Consider the following 19,609-nt stretch of genomic DNA (forward strand, 5'->3'; position numbering starts at 1 on the left):
TTTAAATAATGTTTAATAATTTAACAGTAGGATAAAGGAAGAAGGTTTAAAATAACTGAATAAAAATATTAGAAAAAGCCTATTTATTAGATCATAAAAGTCTATCAATGGATACTGTTAGATGATATATCTGAAAGTTAAATAAAACTGGATGAAGCCCCACACAATAAAAGTCACTGATGGCATTTGGACAGGCCTTCCATGAGAGCAGTGGATTAGGCAATCAAATAGGTACATACTCCTGTATCTTCCATAAGTCTGATGGCTTTTTTATAACCATCTTTTTAAAAGTTTCAATCATTAATTGATTATTCAGCTATGAATAAATACATAGATGAAACCTGTGTATGTCAAAAAGAGACAAAACCATATTTTAAAAATTGATATATGGAGAAAAACCAAATTTAACATTAGAATTTTGAATACTGCAAAATAATAATGGTACTTGTTTCTGAGTGACATGATTATAGTTGACATTTTCTTTTCTAAACAAACTTTTTAATAGTTTATACAAAAAAACACATATCATTTTCTATTGCTTTATCAGGCAAAAACAAATGTTTTAAAATTTTAACATTTTCCACATGAACCCATCTTATAAGGATTTAATTACTAAGCAATTATATAAATTTAAAGAAGCATTTCAAAATCCTAAGTAATTCTTCTAATACAAAAGTAGTTTTAATTGATTGGATATTTTAGGTTTAATTATTCACCTACATGTATAATATTAGATTATGTAACATGTTGCTTATTTTAAAAACAGGGCTAAATCTGATTATATAAACTTAATCTCTTCCACTGATACATTGACACAGTTGTTAAAACAATAAAGTCTCAAAGGAGAGAGGAAAAGTTTTAATAAAGAAAAGTTTTAAGAAAAATCAATTTATTCTTAATCTAAATAGAAATTAAGTTCAATTTGATCATTGTCTAGATTTTTATAAACTCAATGCATTTGTCCGTAGAATTCAGGAATACAACTTACTTATCTCTCTGTTAACGCCTGCATTAAGGTACCTATACAATCAGGCCCCTCCAGATTTAATAAAAACACTTATTTAGAAATATTATTCTCAGATTTCCAACTATAACAGGGTAACTATAAGGTTTGCTTAGAATTTGAATATACATGCCTGGGTTGAGTTAAGTACATTAACATACAGATTCCATTCTGCATGACTCTGTATAATGTAATGAACACTAACAGACATCCCATTTCCTATATCTCATATGTAGAAATTACATCCCTAGAGCTAAAGACTAGAAAACAGACATCAGAATTTTTTTTTAAAGTGAAAAGCATTTTCTAATAAAATTACTGAAAGGCATTTTACATTCAAGATATAATGATGTTCTACTTCTACTTAATATTTTTATCTTTATCAATTAAAAACAAACAAGAAAACCAGAAAAACCTCTTATTGGAGGCCACGTTTTTAACCCAGCTCTGAAAGACTCATTTGAATATTGCTAATAAAAAATGTTTACATGCCATTTCTACAAATTCTTATTATTGCATCTAGCTCAACAAGCAAGTCTGCAATTAACAACATAAAACATTCTTTCCTATGCCGTTGACAAGATTTTTAATGACCAGGCTAGTCATTTACCAACTTCCTTTGCTTAAAATCTAATAAAGAATTCATTCACTTTTGGCTCTCATTCATGTTAGCTAGAGTTTTTCTCATCCTCAAGTAGAGAATGAATTCAAGATTTTAATTAGAAATGTTGGCTTCCAAAGCTATACTCAAGCTTTTATTTTTTTAATTTATAATTATGTTTAAGGATAAAACACTGTGCAGAAGTAGCTACACAACATGATTGCTGGGTCAGCCACTTACTGGTTCAAGGTCTGTATCAAATAATTATACTGGCTGAAATCCACAAGAAATAACTGATAACAATAATGCTACACAGTGCATTAGACTTTATTTAGCATCACCACATATGTCACATAATGTAATATTCACAAATTGTGGGAAAAGCAACATTATTTATGATCCTCATTGTAGTTATTGTTTTCTCGCAGGCCAGGATCTACTTCCTTTTCCTACAGTGCTCTGATTTCCTTTTGAATATTCACCTGTTACTCACAGAACATAGACAAGAAACTGGATTCAAAAACCCATCTCTCTTACAAGCTGGCAGCCTTGCCAAATTAGACCACTCATTGGAGTCCTTTCTGTGAACTTGATGCTTGCACAGAGAAATAAAGATACAAAAAATATTTAGAGGTTTTCATTTCAGTGGCAGAATCCATATCAGATTCTTCCTGCTACAAGACCTATCCTGATCTCCAACTCCTTGGAGATGCCTTGACTACTGTCCCATTTCCAAGTCTGATTTTCCTGCTTTCCTTTAATTCTGTGTGCTCCCAAACCTATTCTAATAAATTTTCTTTTGCCTAAGTTAGCCAGAGCCAGTGTCTGTTGACTGCAACCAGAGACCCCTAAAAACACCCTTTTACACATCAAATGCATAAATGTTAAGTAATTACCCAGAGTTGCTCAATGAACAAGAAAGTGGTAATCTCATGACTTCTAATTCAGTGTTCTTTACACTCTGCCACAGATAAAGATGATCATACAACACTTTTTAAATATAGAGCTTGGTTTTCCAATGGTAAAAATGGCTTTAAAGTTCAACATCATTATAGGAGTAATTTGTCCTCAGGAAGAAATGAAGAATAATTTAATTTTGGATAGTTATAAGTATGTCATAGAACTTTTAGAAAAATGCCACTCATTTCCATCAGCAATATTTTCAGATTGTTATAAAGATATAAACATATTAAACCATATGCTTCATATATTAGGTTATCAATGCCTACTGTTGACTAACTTTCCCAAATACTTCTTTCCTGAATTCAGATGCCATATAAAAGAAAGCAAAAAGCCACTGTAAATTAAATGAATTGAGAACACTAACAACAATAATGGCAACCATTATTTAAGTACTTACCACACACCAGGCAATTCATTGGCATGTATCATACGATAGTAAATTCTCACAACAGCTTTGCAGAGTCAGTGTCAATATCCCATTTTAGAGAGAGTGAACTGGGACTTACAGATGTTAAGTAATTTGATCAAGTTCACATAACCAAAAAACGATTAAAACTATTATCTAAAGCCCTTATTTTTTTCTGTGCATACCATATATAATCTCAGAAACACTAAAGAGAGATGTCAGTATAGAGCTTTATCCCTCCAATTCCCAGAGGCTTAGACAAAGAAAACGTTGGTGAAACCATTGGACTCTATGACAACTAGAACTGCATAAATCATAATCAATAGAAAAACTAAATTTATCTCTAGAATTTGGAAAATCACAGGACATATATGTTAAATAAAGATTCTGAATATTACAGTGATTGAAAAGACATTTACCCCCACTTAATGCAATAATTTGAACCAGAAAAGCCTTGCATTTTGAAAAAGTTTAGAAATCTTTCTTTTAGGTTTACAAAGAAAAAGCGGCCTTCATTTTATCCCTTAGACTTCTGTGTCCTCCACCTGCTACATTACACTTCAAGAAATTTAACTTATATCAATCAAAATTTGCTTCTTAATGGATGTACATCTCAAACTCAATAGCCCACCCTTTACAAACACTGTACAACCCAATAGTGAAAGCAAAAAAAGCTATGTAGTTATTTCTTTAAAACCTTCAGCAGTTAAGAAGAAGGAGACATATCAAAGCATATTTTTTCCATCTGGCTCCAGAACTTTAGTTCATGGGCAAAGTATATGGTATTTGTATTGGCAAAATAAGTTGTGATTTCAAAGCATCATCTAGTAGCACTGTAACATAGACCATGGTGCTAAATGAGGCATGCTAGTGAATATCGTTCTTGTAATAGTATCAATTGTTTCAATATGTAAAACTCTGTTTAAAGCTATATGTTGAATCTCTACTCTACTTTTGGGTGTCTGGCCATCCAAAAACTGAATCCCACAAGTTACTAATAGACTTGAACTGAAAACTATCTCTGAAAATAGATCAAAAGGCACACTTTGTTCAAGATGTCTCAGGGAAAAGGTGACTTCTGCTCTCAAAAAAAAAAGAAAAAGAGAAGTGTGTGTGTGTGTGTGTGTGTGTGTGTGTGTGTGTGTGTGTTTAAATTAAATGGCTGCACAACCTAATGGAGAAGCTGCCCAGACTTGCCATTTGGTGGGGGTGGGAATGTGGGAGGTGGTTCAAACTTATTAGGCTACATCACTTCAGCTGGAGCTCTGTCTCGATGGGGATGCTAAAATCCAGCAACCAAGACTTATACCAGTAAAGTGCTCAATGAAGATGTTCTCTGATAGAATTCAGTCATATATGAGGTACTCATTTTTCCTACTCAATTATTTAATTGCTTTAAGTCTCATTTTAAAAAGTCTTTTTAATATCTTGAAAGTTTACGTAATGGTTATTATGTGCAACTAACTATAATTCTATTCCACTTTATTTTCATGTAACATTATTGAAAAGAGCTCATAAACCAGATTCCACACTCAAAAACTCAAATTCCTTTCATACTGTATCATTTGTTTCCATACCCAACAAAATTGTATCTTCCACCAACCAGCCTGGCTGCCTAAATGAGACTTGTGGGATGCTATCAAAGGATAGCAATGACAAGTGAATGACAAGACAGAAGCTTGTCATTCTGCCTCTTCAGGGTGGGATGTGATTTTTGCCTATCCAGAAACCAGGGGGTTCATGTTACAAATTTATATTGTTTAAAGAAATCCCCCGCAAAGTGATTCGTGGCCAAAATAATTGCTGTAGCTATCACATTCTCAACATAAGCATATAAATAAAATATATGCTTACGCTTAGCATAGGCATAGCTGGCTGATTGCATCTGCATTTTTGTACCTGCAGCTAATTACTGGCCCAAAAAGGAGGCTACCATCCGTCACCACCAAAAGGTAGGGGCATGGAGAGCAACTGACACATGACTGTTCTCTAATATAGCAGAGCTCCATCTATGTTGTTGCATGAATAGCAGAGATTGGAGACAGAAAACAAACATGTCTAAAACAAAAATGTCCAACTTCCTCTATTTATAATCTCAGTATTTATACTAGATCTGGTAATAAGTGCAAGGCCTACTCCTCATATACTACTATCAATTAAGATAAGATTCCATTTTATCCAAAGTATATCATACCCTGTAATTCTCAAAGTAGTTACAATAAATTTAAATAAAGTCAAAATCCTTTCTTAATCTTAGAGCAGGAATTTTTTTTTTTTTGCCAACATGTGGTATTTTATGCCCTTACCAAAGGCATACCAAAACATCACATAATCTAATTCCAGTTTTCCTTGGGTTTATTTCAGCTTTATTGGTGTACATTTGCAAATAGAAACTGTATATATTTGAGGTACATAACTTGATATACATATATATTGTGAAATGATTACCACAATCAAGCTAGTTGACATATATAATCACCTAACATAGTAATCTTGTGTGAGTGTGTGTTTGTGTGTATGCATACGTGCACACACATGGTGAGAACATTTAAGATCTACATTCTTAAGAAAATTTCAAGTATGCAATACAATATTGCTAACTATAGTCATCAGTCTGTCCACTGGATCTCCAGAACTTAGCCATCTTGCACATCTGAAACTTTCAGTTTTCCATGTTTTAAAACTTGGTCACCTTTTGCTGGAGGATAAGAAGAAGGAAAAGCACATGGCACTGTTTGGAGGCCACATGTAAGCCTATCTTTCCTCCTCATCAAAACCCTCTGAAAATAAAGACTCTTTCTCTGTCTTTATCATAAAGGTGGAACTGCGGGTCTTGAAAGGCTCTCACTGCCTCCTTTAAGGCGTTCTTGCCTCACATCAGTCAGAGGAAAGAGTGCCCCCACAGGCCATCATTAACCTGCCAATTCTGCCTCCAAACAAGGAGGACAAGAGCTCACTAATTTGAAGATCAAAAACCCACTTGTCCATTATATAATTGGAATGAAAGGCAAAATGTTGCCGTTCTGAAGAGCACAGTAATTACTAGCTGTTAATTGCTCTCTCGTGGTGGCTCACTTTTAATTAAAAAGAACAGCTCGTTGCAGGCCGATAAGCAATGGTGGAGACCACTGGTTTAATCAACAAAGCAGAAAAATTTGTTTCTGCTGAAGCCAACAACAGCTTGAGAAATCTTCAGATGTCCAATTGAGATTAAAAACTGTCTATTTAGTGCAGTCAGATTTTATTTTAACCAAGGAAATGACTATTTGAAGTCTTCCAATGTGAGTGTCCCCGCCACATCCCCGCTGGTGCCGTGGGGACTAATCACGGGCTGGGGTTGTGATCACTCAAGTAAAGAAATTTAGCGACTTTCCTCTTGACTTCATCATTCTTGGGTAATTGGCCTGTCTGAGGTGAGTACTCTTTTTTTTTTAAAGAAAGCGCTTTAAAGTATGGAAGGCCCACAGACTGTGCATTTAATTACTGTTCATATTTCATGCAGTCAAACTGAATTTCATTTGAAAAGAAAATGATTTACCTATCTTTAAAAAGCCTTAATGTTCTGCTTTGTTTTGTTTTGTTTTTTTCTTCCAGGGGTTATATATTTACATGCCAATATTTAGGGCACCAAAATTAATTCTGTAAGATGCTTCTCTGTCTTTTCCTCTTTCATCTAACAGCCACAGAATGCAGCTATACTTACCCCAGGGTGAGGAGGTAGTCCCTGGAAGGATAATACTACATTTAGTTAAGAAGGCTCCCAAGGTTAAGTAGAGTTACTTGGTCCCAATTTGGCTCATCTCTCTGCCTTTGAACAGTGTGTGTATCTGCCTCCCATGCCTCTTTTCTTCTCCCTCTTTTCTAAGTCATGATGGTTGGAAAGCCATTTGTTTTTAAAATTCACATGTTCTTCCACTTAACTGAATCTCAGGCTATATTTCAGTCTCGTCCTTCATCAAGGAGGAAACTTCTTCCCTCTTCACTAATCATAAGAAACACATATCCCTGAATTGTCTGGATAATATTAAAAATGTGTCTCAATCACAATGCCAGTGATATAGACTGTTGGTCAACTATCTACCCTATACATTGGGTGTTAGCACTAGTCTTCCTGTACAAAATGGTTTATCACTTTGGCTCCAGTGGTGCCTCTGAAAAGATCTGTCCTCTTGCCAGCCACTAAAGCAAACTTCTCTTTCTCCTCAGACAAGTCTTTAAGATACAGCCTATAAACGCATGTAGGTAAATGGGTAATTTAATTTGGGTAATGAAAAATTAACCAATTGTTAGCTTAATTTGCTAGTCCTTTTCTTTGAAAACACTGGTGACGTCAGGCTGATGGAGGCTGGTACCTCCTTCATGCCTTCATTCCTCCATGCCAATCTACTTAAAGGCATACAGCCGTCCCTCTTAGTAGGGAATTTATTAATTGAGTCTTGAACTGACTTTTCCAAATTAAGGTGTCTGCTTTCAGAAAGAAGGGGTAGGGAAGAAAAAGAGGGTTTTATAGGGTTTTCTTTTTCCCCTGGCTTCATTTATATCCAAGAATAGAAGGCCTACAATGGTGGAAAGAGCAAAGACCAATTTTGGTTTAAATCCCCACTTGCTTTTTTTTTTTTTTTTTTTTTTTTTTTTTGAGATGGAGTCTCGCTCTTTCGCCCAGGCTGGAGTGCAGTGGCGCGATCTCGGCTCACTGCAAGCTCCGCCTCCCGGGTTCACGCCATTCTCCTGCCTCAGCCTCCCGAGTAGCTGGGACCACAGGCACCGCCACCACGCCCGGCTAATTTTTTGTATTTTTGATAGAGACGGGGTTTCACCGTGTTAGCCAGGATGGTCTCGATCTCCTGACCTTGCGATCTGCCCGCCTCGGCCTCCCAAAGTGCTGGGATCACAGGCATGAGCCACCGCGCCCGGCCCCAACTTGCCATTTCTTAATACGTAACCATGAGATACTTGTTTAGCCTCTTAAATCACAGTTCAATCCATGGAGAAAAGAACTCTTTTAAGAGACTATTTCAAAAACTAAGTGAAATAACATTTTGAATATACTATGTGCTCAATAGGTCATAGTTGTACCTAACATTTGGGGCTGGCGATAAATGGATGGTAATTCAAGAAGGGTCCCTCCACATTCACCCCTCTGTATACTTTCAAACATGGCAGAACCTGGAGAAGAAAATCCCACAATTATTTTGTTGAGTATTCTCTATTTTCTCCTATCCCTACACTTCATCACTGAGCATGTGCCATTAATTGTTTTAACCGCTGTAAAATCTGGCATGGGAATAGGGTGGGACACAGTAAACTGGTGAATGACACAAAAAGGAATTTGATAGGAAATTTGCTTCTATAGAAAGGTGGGAGTGCAAAAAAAAAAAGACAAAAGAGTTATTTTCTAAAGTTTAAGCTTCTGAAAATTTGCCTCAGGATGTTAATATCTAATACAAAAGAAGAGTAAACACACATACACACTCACACACACACACATGCACAAACACATTTTTTGTGAGACTCTTCTTACCCAGCCTGTCAATCCTGTAAATAAGTTTGGTGACAGTGAAATAAGTGTGGTAATGATAAGAAACTATTCTCATATGAGCAGCACCATCTCCTGATGCAAGAAGGCTATGCAACTAGAAAAATAATAAAATAAAATTATTTTTTTCCTAAAATAGATACTTTCCTAAGGTACGTATTCAAAGTTGTTGCCTCTTTGATGTAACATTCCTTTCTGATCATTCTACTGGGAACTATTACATGGCTTCTTTTATTTCTCACTGACAAGAGGTTTTTAAAACAATTACTTAACCCAGTGGAAAAATTCAATGCCTTAGTTAAACATATTCGTCTTATTCTTAGTTACAAAATAAGTGTGACGCTATAGTCATCCTGCCTATATACAATCATGAAATATCAAGTTCTGGAGTTGAAAGAGACCTAAAGAGTCTTATGCAAATATAGGCCTTTAAAGTTGCTAAATACAAACAAATTCAAGGAACAATGACTAAACTCTACACTAAGATAAATGCCGAAGAGACCTGCTATTAATGTGCCTCAGGGCTTCATCTTCCCCAAAAGCTCAGTAGAAAAGGTTCCCTGTCTAAGACTAGAACTTGGTGTTAAAAGTGAATGGCCCATTTGTCAGGAGCAGGCTCCACCAGCAGCTCCTGGTGTGACCCTGGATAAATCCTGTCACTTCCCTGATGTGATGATTGATGTTCAGAAGCTCTGAAGGCTCATCTAGCTTGAAAAATCTATTTTTCTATCACCACTTCAAAAAATTTTTTGATCGTGGTAAAACATATATAAGATAAAATTTACCATTTTAACCATTTTTAAGTGTATAGTTCAGTGACATTAAGTACCTTCACACTGTTGTACGACCATCACCATTACTCATCTCCAGGGCTTTTTAATGATCCCAAACTGAAACTCTGTACCCAATAACTCTGCATTTCCTCCTGCCTCCTCCCCCATTTCCTCCTGCCCCTGGTAACCACTGTTCTACTTTCTGTCTCTGTGAATTTGCCTATTCTAGGCCTCTCATGAAAGTGGAACCATGCATTATTTGTTCTTTTGTCTCTGGCTTATATCCCTTAGCATAATGTTCTAAGGTTCACCCATGTTGTATCATGTGTCAGAATTTCTGTCCTTGTTAAGACTGAATAATATTCCTTTTGTATGTTTACACCACACTTTGTTTATCTGCTCATCTGCCAATGGGCATTTAGGTTGTTTGCACCTTTCGACCATTGTGAATCGTGCTGCTATGAACACTGGTGTAGAGTATCCGTTTGAGTCTCTGCTTTCTCTGCCTGCTTTGCGATTCAGGAAGAGTCCAAGCCGACTCAAAGGCAGCCGGTCAGCATCAGGCTTACGCATCTCTTGACTCACTTTGTACCACACCAACTACCAGCAGATGCTCAAACAAATGTCCTCTGATAACAGAAAGCAGATTCAGTCTCTTTGGATCAATTACATGTTAAACCAAAATCCTCTTATAGGGTGGGGGCAATCTCAGACACGTGCACCGTGCCAGTTAAGGCAAAAGCCAAGCAATGTGTATATGCACAAGCTTTTCTGAACACTTACAGTCCTGTGTCTACTCACGGCATCCAGATCAGGAGGGCTGGGATCACTGTAATCGATTCTCATCACTGTAAACTCCTGCATTCACTCTGTGATTGGGATGTGAAGGGTCGGGGGCAGGGAGGGAGTGTCCCCCCACCCCCCTTATTTCCTGTTTCTAATTTTCAGGCAGCACCTGTCACCAGCAGTCTTGACTTTCACAGTTTTCTTTTGAGCCTCTTTGCTTTTTTCTCATACTTGTTCTAAGGTTTATCAGAGGAAACACTTGCCCTCCCAAGGATGGCCTCCATGCTGTGACAGATTAATCCAAGTTGAGTGAACTTCCTTCAGACAGAGGACACTAATTATTATGAAGGCACTTAGAACACAATGCGAGCTGACATCTCACAGGCCATTCCCTGCCAACTCTGCATTGTCTTAATGTCAGACCCTGTCAGTTCCCAGCCTTAATTATATCCTGTTTACAAACATTAGGCCTGACTTCAGATGAAGCATTAACAAAGGTTGACAAAGGTCAGGGTCACATCGCAAGGATGTTATCTGTCTATACTCTCCTCCCGATAAACCAGAGGTAGAGGGCTGATCCGAGAGATAGCTTTCAGAGCAGAAAAATGCAGTGTGGTCACTGGAATATCTAATCTCTGCGGACACATTTTCATCCAATCTGCTAAATGCTGTGGCAGGGAGAGGGGGGCAAATTTAGAGGGCCAACTTGGTGCTACTTATCTTAAATCCCCTGAGGGCAGACATGGCAAAGGTGTTGGTAAAAACCTCTTTCAATAGGAAGAACAATCATCACCCTTTGCCACTGAATCAAGAAACTAATTCAAAGCGTTAAAAAACAGCAACCACCACCACCCAACCCCTGTTAAAATAGGGACCTGTTTTAAAGATGACAAGCAAGTTTGAATTACTATACTTGGCCTTACTTTTTAAATCTTATTATTTTCAAATGTTTTTATATTAGGGTCAATGAGCAGCTAAGCAGATTTTTCTTAAGCAAAGCACTCTTTAGATTCATTTTATATGCTGAATTTGTAGGTATCACATCAGACTTGCATTCAAATTAATCAGACTCAGGTTTCTTTGAATTTCAGTAAGTTAAAACAGTAATTACTATCACATACAACCCATTCTTTTCTTTAGGTTATGATCTTAGTGATCATCTGCCAAATCTCTATATTTTACAAATGGGAAGACAGTGGCTCAATGAGGTCGAAGTATTTAACCTAACTGAATCTTACAGCACAGTGGTGGAAAGTTCAGGCTAAAACCAAAATTCTCTCCCCCTAATCTAGGATTCTTCCCATACTTGGGAAATTAAACCTTTTTTAAAAAGTATTTTTAGGCCAGGTGCAGTGGCTCATGCCTGTAGTCCCAGCACTTTGGGAGGCCGAGGTGGGCAGATCACTTGAGGCCGGGAGTTCAAGACCAGCCCGGCCAACATGGCAAAACCCCGTCTCTTCTTTAAAAATACGAAAATTAGCTGGGTGTGATGGTGGGCGCTTGTAGTCCCAGCTACTCAACTTGGGAGGCTGAGGCACTAGAATTGCTTGAACCCAGGAGGCGGAGGTTGTAGTGAGCCGAGATCGTGCCACTGCACTCCAGTCTGGGCAACAGAGTTAGACTCTGTCTTAAAAAAAAAAAGCACAAAAAAAAATTTTTTTTAAAGTATTCTTACAGAAGCTGACATCTATTTACTAGACATCTGTTTAACAATTTCTATAATTTCCCCCATCAGCCTTCTCTCCCAACTAAATAACTTAGATTCTTTTCATCTTATAAGTTCCTGTCTGCCAACATGTAAATTGCTTTAAATGTTCTTTTCTGGACACACTCCTCTAAGTCTTGAAATTCCCATAGGGCACACAAAAGCACTCAGTAGATAATTTATTTAACTGCTTGGGCCTCATTTGTTTCTTCCACAGTATTGAGGCTTGTATTGTGCTAGGTCCAGGTCATTTTCTTATCTGGGTCCAGTTAGTTGCAATCTGTTCGACAGGCCATCTCCCTAAATGCACAGCTTGTGCAACTGAGTTCCAGGTGAATTAACACTTTTTGAAATTTATCTCCTTCAGTCTCTAGCTCCTCCCTCATCCCCCAACCACCCTACCATACCCTGAGGCCAAGGCCAAGACTTACTTCCAGGCCTCCTACTTACTAACGCTCCCAAGAAATTTCCTCTGTTCCCAGATTTTTGATTTCTTGCCACCAGTGGACAACTCTGAATTGTTCAGACTTAGCCCTATCTCCTCACATCTCTTTCTTCCTCATCTCTGTGAGAGGCATCTATAGCACAATGTTAACTCAAATGCAGTAAGCGTAAGAACAAATCTCCTCCAGGGTCCTTCTCCCAGTCCTCCCATCTTGGATAGAAGAAACACCGTTCTCCTCATGCCCAATATTTACTTCAGAGGGTCCTTTCTCAGCCCTAGCTACTTCCCCATAGTGACCAACTACATCTTGTTAACTGTTTTGTCCAAAGTGCCTGCCACAGAACCTGGAACATAGTAGGCACTTATAATATCTGATGAAAGAATCAATTAATGAATCAATGAATGAATAAACTTGGTGAAATCACGAAGTCTTGTCTATCTTTCTCCACAGCATCCCAGCTCCCCCTTCCCACTTCTTCCTGCAGGGCCATCTCCACAGCATCCCAGCTCCCCCTTCCCACTTCTTCCTGCAGGGCCATCTCCATCCTCAACACTTTCATCACCAGGAGTCTGACTTACTAGAAACCAGGGTTGCTATATCAACTTTAGTTTCTCCACCTAATCCCTCCTAATCATGGCTGGGCACAGACAGAAGCTCTGTACAAAAATTAGTGCTTCAATCTTACCTTAAAAACAGATCCTTTGTGACAATTCTATCAACTATTCTAATTTGTTATATAAAAATGTCAAGTAGCTCTAGGCCCGGGTCCAACTCCTGCCAAATGTGACTTATTTTGTTTCCCCGGGATGACAATGAAATGCTGTTAACTACCTTTTGATGATGATTCTCTGAACAGGTGTGCACCCCATAACATTCTGTGGTCTAGACCAGATTTCCCAGCTTATGGCAGATTATGTCATTTGGGACAGATTCCAAGGCTTGGTTTAAATAGATGTATTACTGCCTTGCTGTTCATGCATCAACCACATGCACACAGTGAAGGCAGATGAATCTGCCCATCAAGTGTGATGTGGAGCTCTCTGATGACAAACTGGACTTACGGTAATAAAATTGAGGTTAGAGTGAAATTGAACTAAAATCCCTGGGTGTTATAGTCCTTTAACTTGCTTCACTCACTGTGATGAGCTGCATAGTTCAGAAGGCAATAGTTACTAATAGTTTAAAAAGTTGTGCTTTAAGATGTTTCCATTGCAGAACTGTAAGTTGTGTCCTTTTTGTGTCTGCCAGCCAGTGGCTGGAATGCTCAGTCCGGAATTTCTATCAATTAGCAGAGGAAATAAATGCAGCGGGTAGAGGTAGAGGAGGAGGGAGAAAGGCAGAGAGAAAAATAAATGAAAAAAATGAATTCTTTCCTTTAAAACCTTGAGGAGGTGTGATAAAGCTGGCCTTTTTGCATGCATTACATATATATTTTAGTACTAAGTACAATTTAAAGATGGACAATAATCATCTGTTATCTGGGTCACACTGACACATTAATGGTTCTATTTGTAAGTCTTAGGACAAGATCAATAATTGAGAGCTTTAAAAACACCAGGCACACCTGCAACCTCTTCCCACCACTGAAAAATAACTGCCTGCTCTTTTTTTCAGGAGATCATTTTACTTTCTCTGCATTTGTAATGCCAGTCATAGGCACAACTTACTCTCCCATCAGAATTGGATTACATCAGTGGCTAGTGCATCCAGAAATACAGACCTAATATTTCACAATTGTTCTACAAGGGTGTGCACATACTTTACTACCCCAAACCAAAAAGAAATCTAATTTTAGGGGGAAAGGAGTTGAGATGGTCATAAGAAAACCATGTCGGTAATCTAGCACATACCTTTACATTTTTGAGTGTGAAAATGTCCAGTGCTTAAGTGAACTCCAGAATTCCTAATATGCTTACAACAAGCTGTTTAATTCAAGTGCAAGAGATCTTTTCTAAGTAGGAAAAGACACACTAACACAAGCAACATTTTTACAGTTCTTAAGCACAGAGTCAAAAAAAAAAGAGAGAGAGAGACATCGTTTTACAAAATAACTTGTTTTTCCACACTCATTCTGCCTTATTTGTTCAGTGGTGAATGGTTGGGGGACAGAGGGAGTCGGCGACTAAAAGGTTTTTGGTCTATAAGGAGTTGGAAGCATGTGAAAGAAGAGGTTTTGAGGATGTATAATTAAGCAGAAATCCTCAGCACTCACTAAAAAGGAATCAAGGTGAATGGAGGATCAACTGTGACCACACTGACTACTGAAGCCTTGAATGCCAAAACCTTTCCTTTCATTCAGGCATCTGGTTCTAAAGCAAGATAATTTTCAATTTTAAACAGTGCTAGATTTGATTGTAAAAATGTCTCTTGCATGCGATAGGACAGTTGCTGTCCTCATTCTCCTTTCCTCAGCACCTTAAATACCAGCCACATAGCAGATGCCCGATGAATGTTCACGGAATGAGTAAATAACCCCTGAATGGGTTCAAGGGTCCAAATATTGTCTTGGGTTCTCCTATGTGTCACGCTTTAAAACAATCCCTTTATAATATCTGAGAGCCAGTATAGTTTTAAATCAACTTACCAACAATATACAATTCAACTCAGAAAGTAAATAGAAATAAGCAAGATAATTTTCTGCCTTACTGGTCAACAATCAAAAACTTTTTAGAATCCCGGTAGACACAGTACTGGATAATTCTGCATTAAAAGAAGAAGCAGCAGATCAAGACTGTCCTCAGCAGTTCCACCCACATCCAACAACTGAGAGAGCAGTTGCCTTCTGAGAATGACAGTAGGGAGCTCCAAGCGGAGCTCCCACCCAACAGATCCAGCCTCACCTTTCATTTCGCCACAGCACAGCAGCAGCTCTCCTGTGGTCCTGCTTGCAGGTAGAGAGCACATGAGGGGAAAAAAGAGGGATCTGGTATGGGATTGTACCATAGGCCAGATCCTAAGGAACAATATTATTTTATACTCCTATGACAATCCCAACTCACTCACTCCATTGTGTCTGCCCATGTTTCTGAGCAACTTGGAGCTAGCCAACTCCTGTGGGGCCAGCAGCCTAGGCAAATAGCAGTCATCATTTATTGGTACAACGTAAATATTCAGTACAGACATATAAAGTAAATATTATTATCACCATTTTACTGGGGAGATAATTAAAGCTAATCTATTTAGCAGGTAATGGAGTTAGGATCTGAACCTTGGTTTGTCTGACTTTAAAACATGAGAATTTTTTTTCACCATACCATACTACCTCCTGGGCCCTATCGAAGCTGAGATTCCAGAAGAGAATGAGTTACACAGGAGGCATCATCATCTGCATTCAAAGTAGGCATCATTTTCAGATGAAGTCCTTTGTATATATGGGCCTAACAATTTAAGCTCAAAAGATTAAAATTTGAAGACACCTAAATATCACAAAGTGACAAACATTTTAGAAGTCTCTCATTCCACCACATACTACAGAGGGAAGCATCTTTGTAAAAATATCTTGCAAGATTTACTTGTACTTATAAAAATAAATTTTACATATATTAACATTCAACATGTATTAACATTGCATAGTACTTTTCCACTGAAAGAGTTCAAAGCATTTTTCAAATACCAATTTTTTTATTCATCTGACTGGGGGGAAAATGCTGAAACATTATGGACAAGCTCTAGGAAGCATCTCTTAAATAATCTAACTTCCTTCTTCCCAAAATAATTCAGGCATCTCAAGATAAAATACACATAAACACTATGACTAGTCAAATAGAAGTCCAAAACTCATGAGAAGTATTTAAGGAAAAAAACTCGAAACCTTGACAATATGGTCATTTGAGCACTGAATTTAATGTTCAACTTCATGAAAAACAAGGTGAAAAGGAAAAGAAGTATGTCATATATAATTCTCATTATCTAATAAAAAGGACTTCTATGGATTGTTGTTTAGGAGACTCTGAGTAAGATATTGGATAATGTTTTCTACCACTATTTGATAGAAAATACGTGAAAAGTTTTCATACGACATTACCTAAACTGACCCTCAACAAAAATTAAGAGTATCTTTAAACAAGAAAGCAATCTGTTTCAGATATAACTCTATTTTCCTTCTACATAGATCATATCTCATTGCTTATACTATGAATAGCGTACTCAATTTCTCCCATTTTTTTCAAGATCTTTTAGTTATCTGTAAATTTTTAGCAATAAAAGAATGTTCTTTTTTTTAAGGTAACATCTATAGACCATTTACTACTGTGTAACCAAAGCCCTGTGCAAAGCGTGCATTCTCTTGACTCGGAGACTCAGGGCTGTCAAACAACTTACCCTCAGTACCATGACCACATGTGACAGACCCAAGATTTTAGCTTGGGTCTTTCCAATTCCAGAACCCAGCTCTTAATTATCTGCTATAGATTCTCTTCCATCACATGTTTGCAGGATTTGCAATAGTTTTATCTGTGTTTCCAAAGTCAAATAGATATGAGCGTCTTCCTGGGGAATTCATATTTTCCTTAGGTCCATTTTTTAAGGGCAGACCCACAGAGGAAAACGAATGCTAGTTGCTTCTGACCAGTCAAAGCATTGAAATCATAACCTAAATTTAAAAAACCTAAGCAACGACAATAAATATTGCAACATGCAGGCAAACGAAAAAGGTCCATGTGGATGGTAGGAAATCATATACTTTGTGGCATGAGCAATAGGAACTTTCCTTTCAGGTCACTGATCAATTCAGTCAGTTGAAAGTAATCTATTGTCATCATGGATAATATTATAGATGAAATCCATTGGTGATCAAAAAACACCTAAAATTCCATGGATCATACAACAACAACAACAACAAAAAGCAATTACCATCATCATTCCCCGGGCAGGAAGCTCCAGGGAGACCAAGAAGTGGATGATAAAGGGGCCACCACCACCTCTTAAATCTTGTTGACTACTTCCAGATGAGCTTTTTGGCATGGGGAGGGAATGGAGCTAAAGAATCTTGCCTAGCTGTTAGATTTCAAGTAGAAATTCTCAATAGTTGGGCTTATGATCTTCTAGTTTCCTTTGTAAGGTAATAGATTTATCTAAGCATGGTAATTTTCTTACTACTTTTAAGCAGATTGTATCTCTGAATTTTGTGAAGACTTATCCAATATGTGCCTAAGCATGTAGACGTTTTAGACTATAAGGGGAAAAAAGATATTGCTAGCTTGTCCTATAAGAGGGAGCAGGGAAGGAAATGTCCTCTAGGGCTTATGCATTAGACTATTTCTAATAGACTATTTTTCTCTTCAACTCAGCCTAAAACATACCCTGAACCCTAAAGTTTTTCGATAATCTTATGCAAAAAAAACCTCTAGAATGACTGCTATTTTCTAAACATTACAGTAGAAGAACCCCTAAGCCAGAATTGATGGCAGCTATGTTTCTCACAAAGACACTCCCAAAACAAGAAGAGACCAGTGAAAGCCCAAGGATTTCCATCCATTGATTCAGTCAGGAACTGTGGTAGGTACTAGAGATTCAGTAACTTAAAAATATTCAGACACATTTGAGTTCAAAAAAAGAGAGAAAAAATAAGTAAATCGAGAAATAGCATTTGCACTCAAGGAATTTACATTCCAACAGAGAAGTCAGACACTAAACATCAAATTGTGCATAGCTATTTAATTAAAATTATGTTAAGAAAACAGTTGACAGGGCCGGGCGCTATGGCTCACGCCTGTAATCCCAGCACTTTGGGAGGCCAAGGCGGGCTGATCACAAGGTCAGGAGATCGAGACCATCCTGGCTAACATGGTGATACCCCGTCTTTACTGAAAATACAAAAAATTGGACGGGCGTGATGGCAGGCGCCTGTGGTTCCAGCTACTTGGGAGGCTGAGGCAGGAGAATGGTGCGAACCCGGGAGGCGGAGCTTGCAGTGAGCCGAGATCGCACCACTGCACTCCAGCCTGGGCGACAGAGTGAGACTCCATCTCAAAAAAAAAAAGAAAAGAAAAGAAAACAGTTGACAGGTATAGTACTGGTGTTCTCCAATTTAATTTAAAGGCACTTAGATTCCTGGGGGAAGGGGAGCAATAAGATGTCGGCTAGCCAAAAGCATTCTCCTAAAAATGCTTTTTAAAATAAAGTTTAGCAGCATTTTTTCCTGGGATTATGAATCTAACCTCCAATTCTGGCAACTGGACTCATTGTTGAGTCTGGGCACCATATTAAGAATCATGGTAGCCAATGGCAACCCAGCTCCCATAAATTCAAAGCTTCATATATATAAAACTATATGTACTGTATATTTCACTTTACCCCAGTTTTTTGCTTGTTTGTTTGTTTGCTTGTTTCCTTGCCAGCTTCACATTTTACAGATTCTCATAATAATTCTAAGAATAGCTCTAATATGGTTTGGCTGCCCCACCCAAATCTCATCTTGAATTGTAACTCCCACAATTCCCATGTGTCATGGGAGGAACCTTATGGGAGGTGATTGAATTATGGAGACAGGTCTTTTCTGCGCTGTTCTCATGATAGTGAGATCAGTCTCATAAGATCTGATGGCTTTAAAAATGGGAGCTTCCCTGCACAAGCTCTCTCTCTCTTTGTCTGCTGCCATTCATGTAAGACATGACTTGCTCCTCCTTGCCTTCTGCCATGATTTGAGGCCTCCCCAGCCATGTGGAATGGTAAGTCCATTAAACCTCTTTCTTTCATAAATTGCCCAGTCTCAGATATGTCTTTACCAGCAGCATGAAAAAGGACTAATACAAATTCCATCTTGAATTTGACAACCAGAGTAACAATTACTTGACTTTTCTGTTTCCTTTCTACAACAAATTTTTAAATAAATGAGAATGCTTCTCTCTGTGTAGAATCAAGGCATATTTTTAAAAGTAGAAAAATATTTGTCCAGTTTGAAAAACAACTGCTATGATCTATCCAGAACCTTAAAACTATAGAATCATATTATATTGGACTTTGAGTAAATCTTAGAATGAATCTCATCCAGCCCTTCATTTTATAGACAGAGACTGATAATGTGAGACTTTGTGAAGACCTCAGCCATTTAACCCTTGAGACATTAAACTGGTGTGTATCAAAGATATATGAACTTTGACATGGAACTACTGGCTGAATGGAACCCATTTAAATACACAAAATTGTATGTAAATGAACAGCTATGTATAGTCACAATCAAATTAGATGGTAATTCACTACTCTTCAATGTCAGGAATACAAAGTAGTTCCACAAACAGTGTGGTTGTGATACTGTGGTTTGTACTATGTAAAATGCCCAATTCAGTATCTGGCTCTTGGCAAAGACTTTGCTTTTAGGAGGAGCCCATCTTAAAAGATGAGGAAGGCAGAACGAGCATGGCCTCTTGCCCCAACAACCACCCACTGAATC

At 37.8% G+C, this 19,609-nt stretch overlaps 1 protein-coding gene across 6 annotated transcripts in view, besides 1 other annotated feature; it reads right to left on the minus strand.

The window, feature by feature from the left end:
* Positions 1 to 19,609, minus strand: part of MECOM (MDS1 and EVI1 complex locus) — a 580,206-nt gene that overhangs the window by 416,564 nt on the left and 144,033 nt on the right. The window lies entirely within an intron of this gene.
* Positions 15,169 to 15,338: an enhancer, noted in NCBI's record as "experimental_66618 CRE fragment used in MPRA reporter constructs". NCBI's record gives its function as "activates a minimal promoter by MPRAs in K562 erythroleukemia cells, with activity observed for the non-introgressed 3:169233112 variant allele {active_cell/tissue: K562}" and the evidence as "EXISTENCE:reporter gene assay evidence [ECO:0000049][PMID:34662402]".

This window comes from Homo sapiens, chromosome 3 (genome assembly GCF_000001405.40).
Source record: "Homo sapiens chromosome 3, GRCh38.p14 Primary Assembly".
Lineage (NCBI taxonomy): Eukaryota > Metazoa > Chordata > Mammalia > Primates > Hominidae > Homo > Homo sapiens.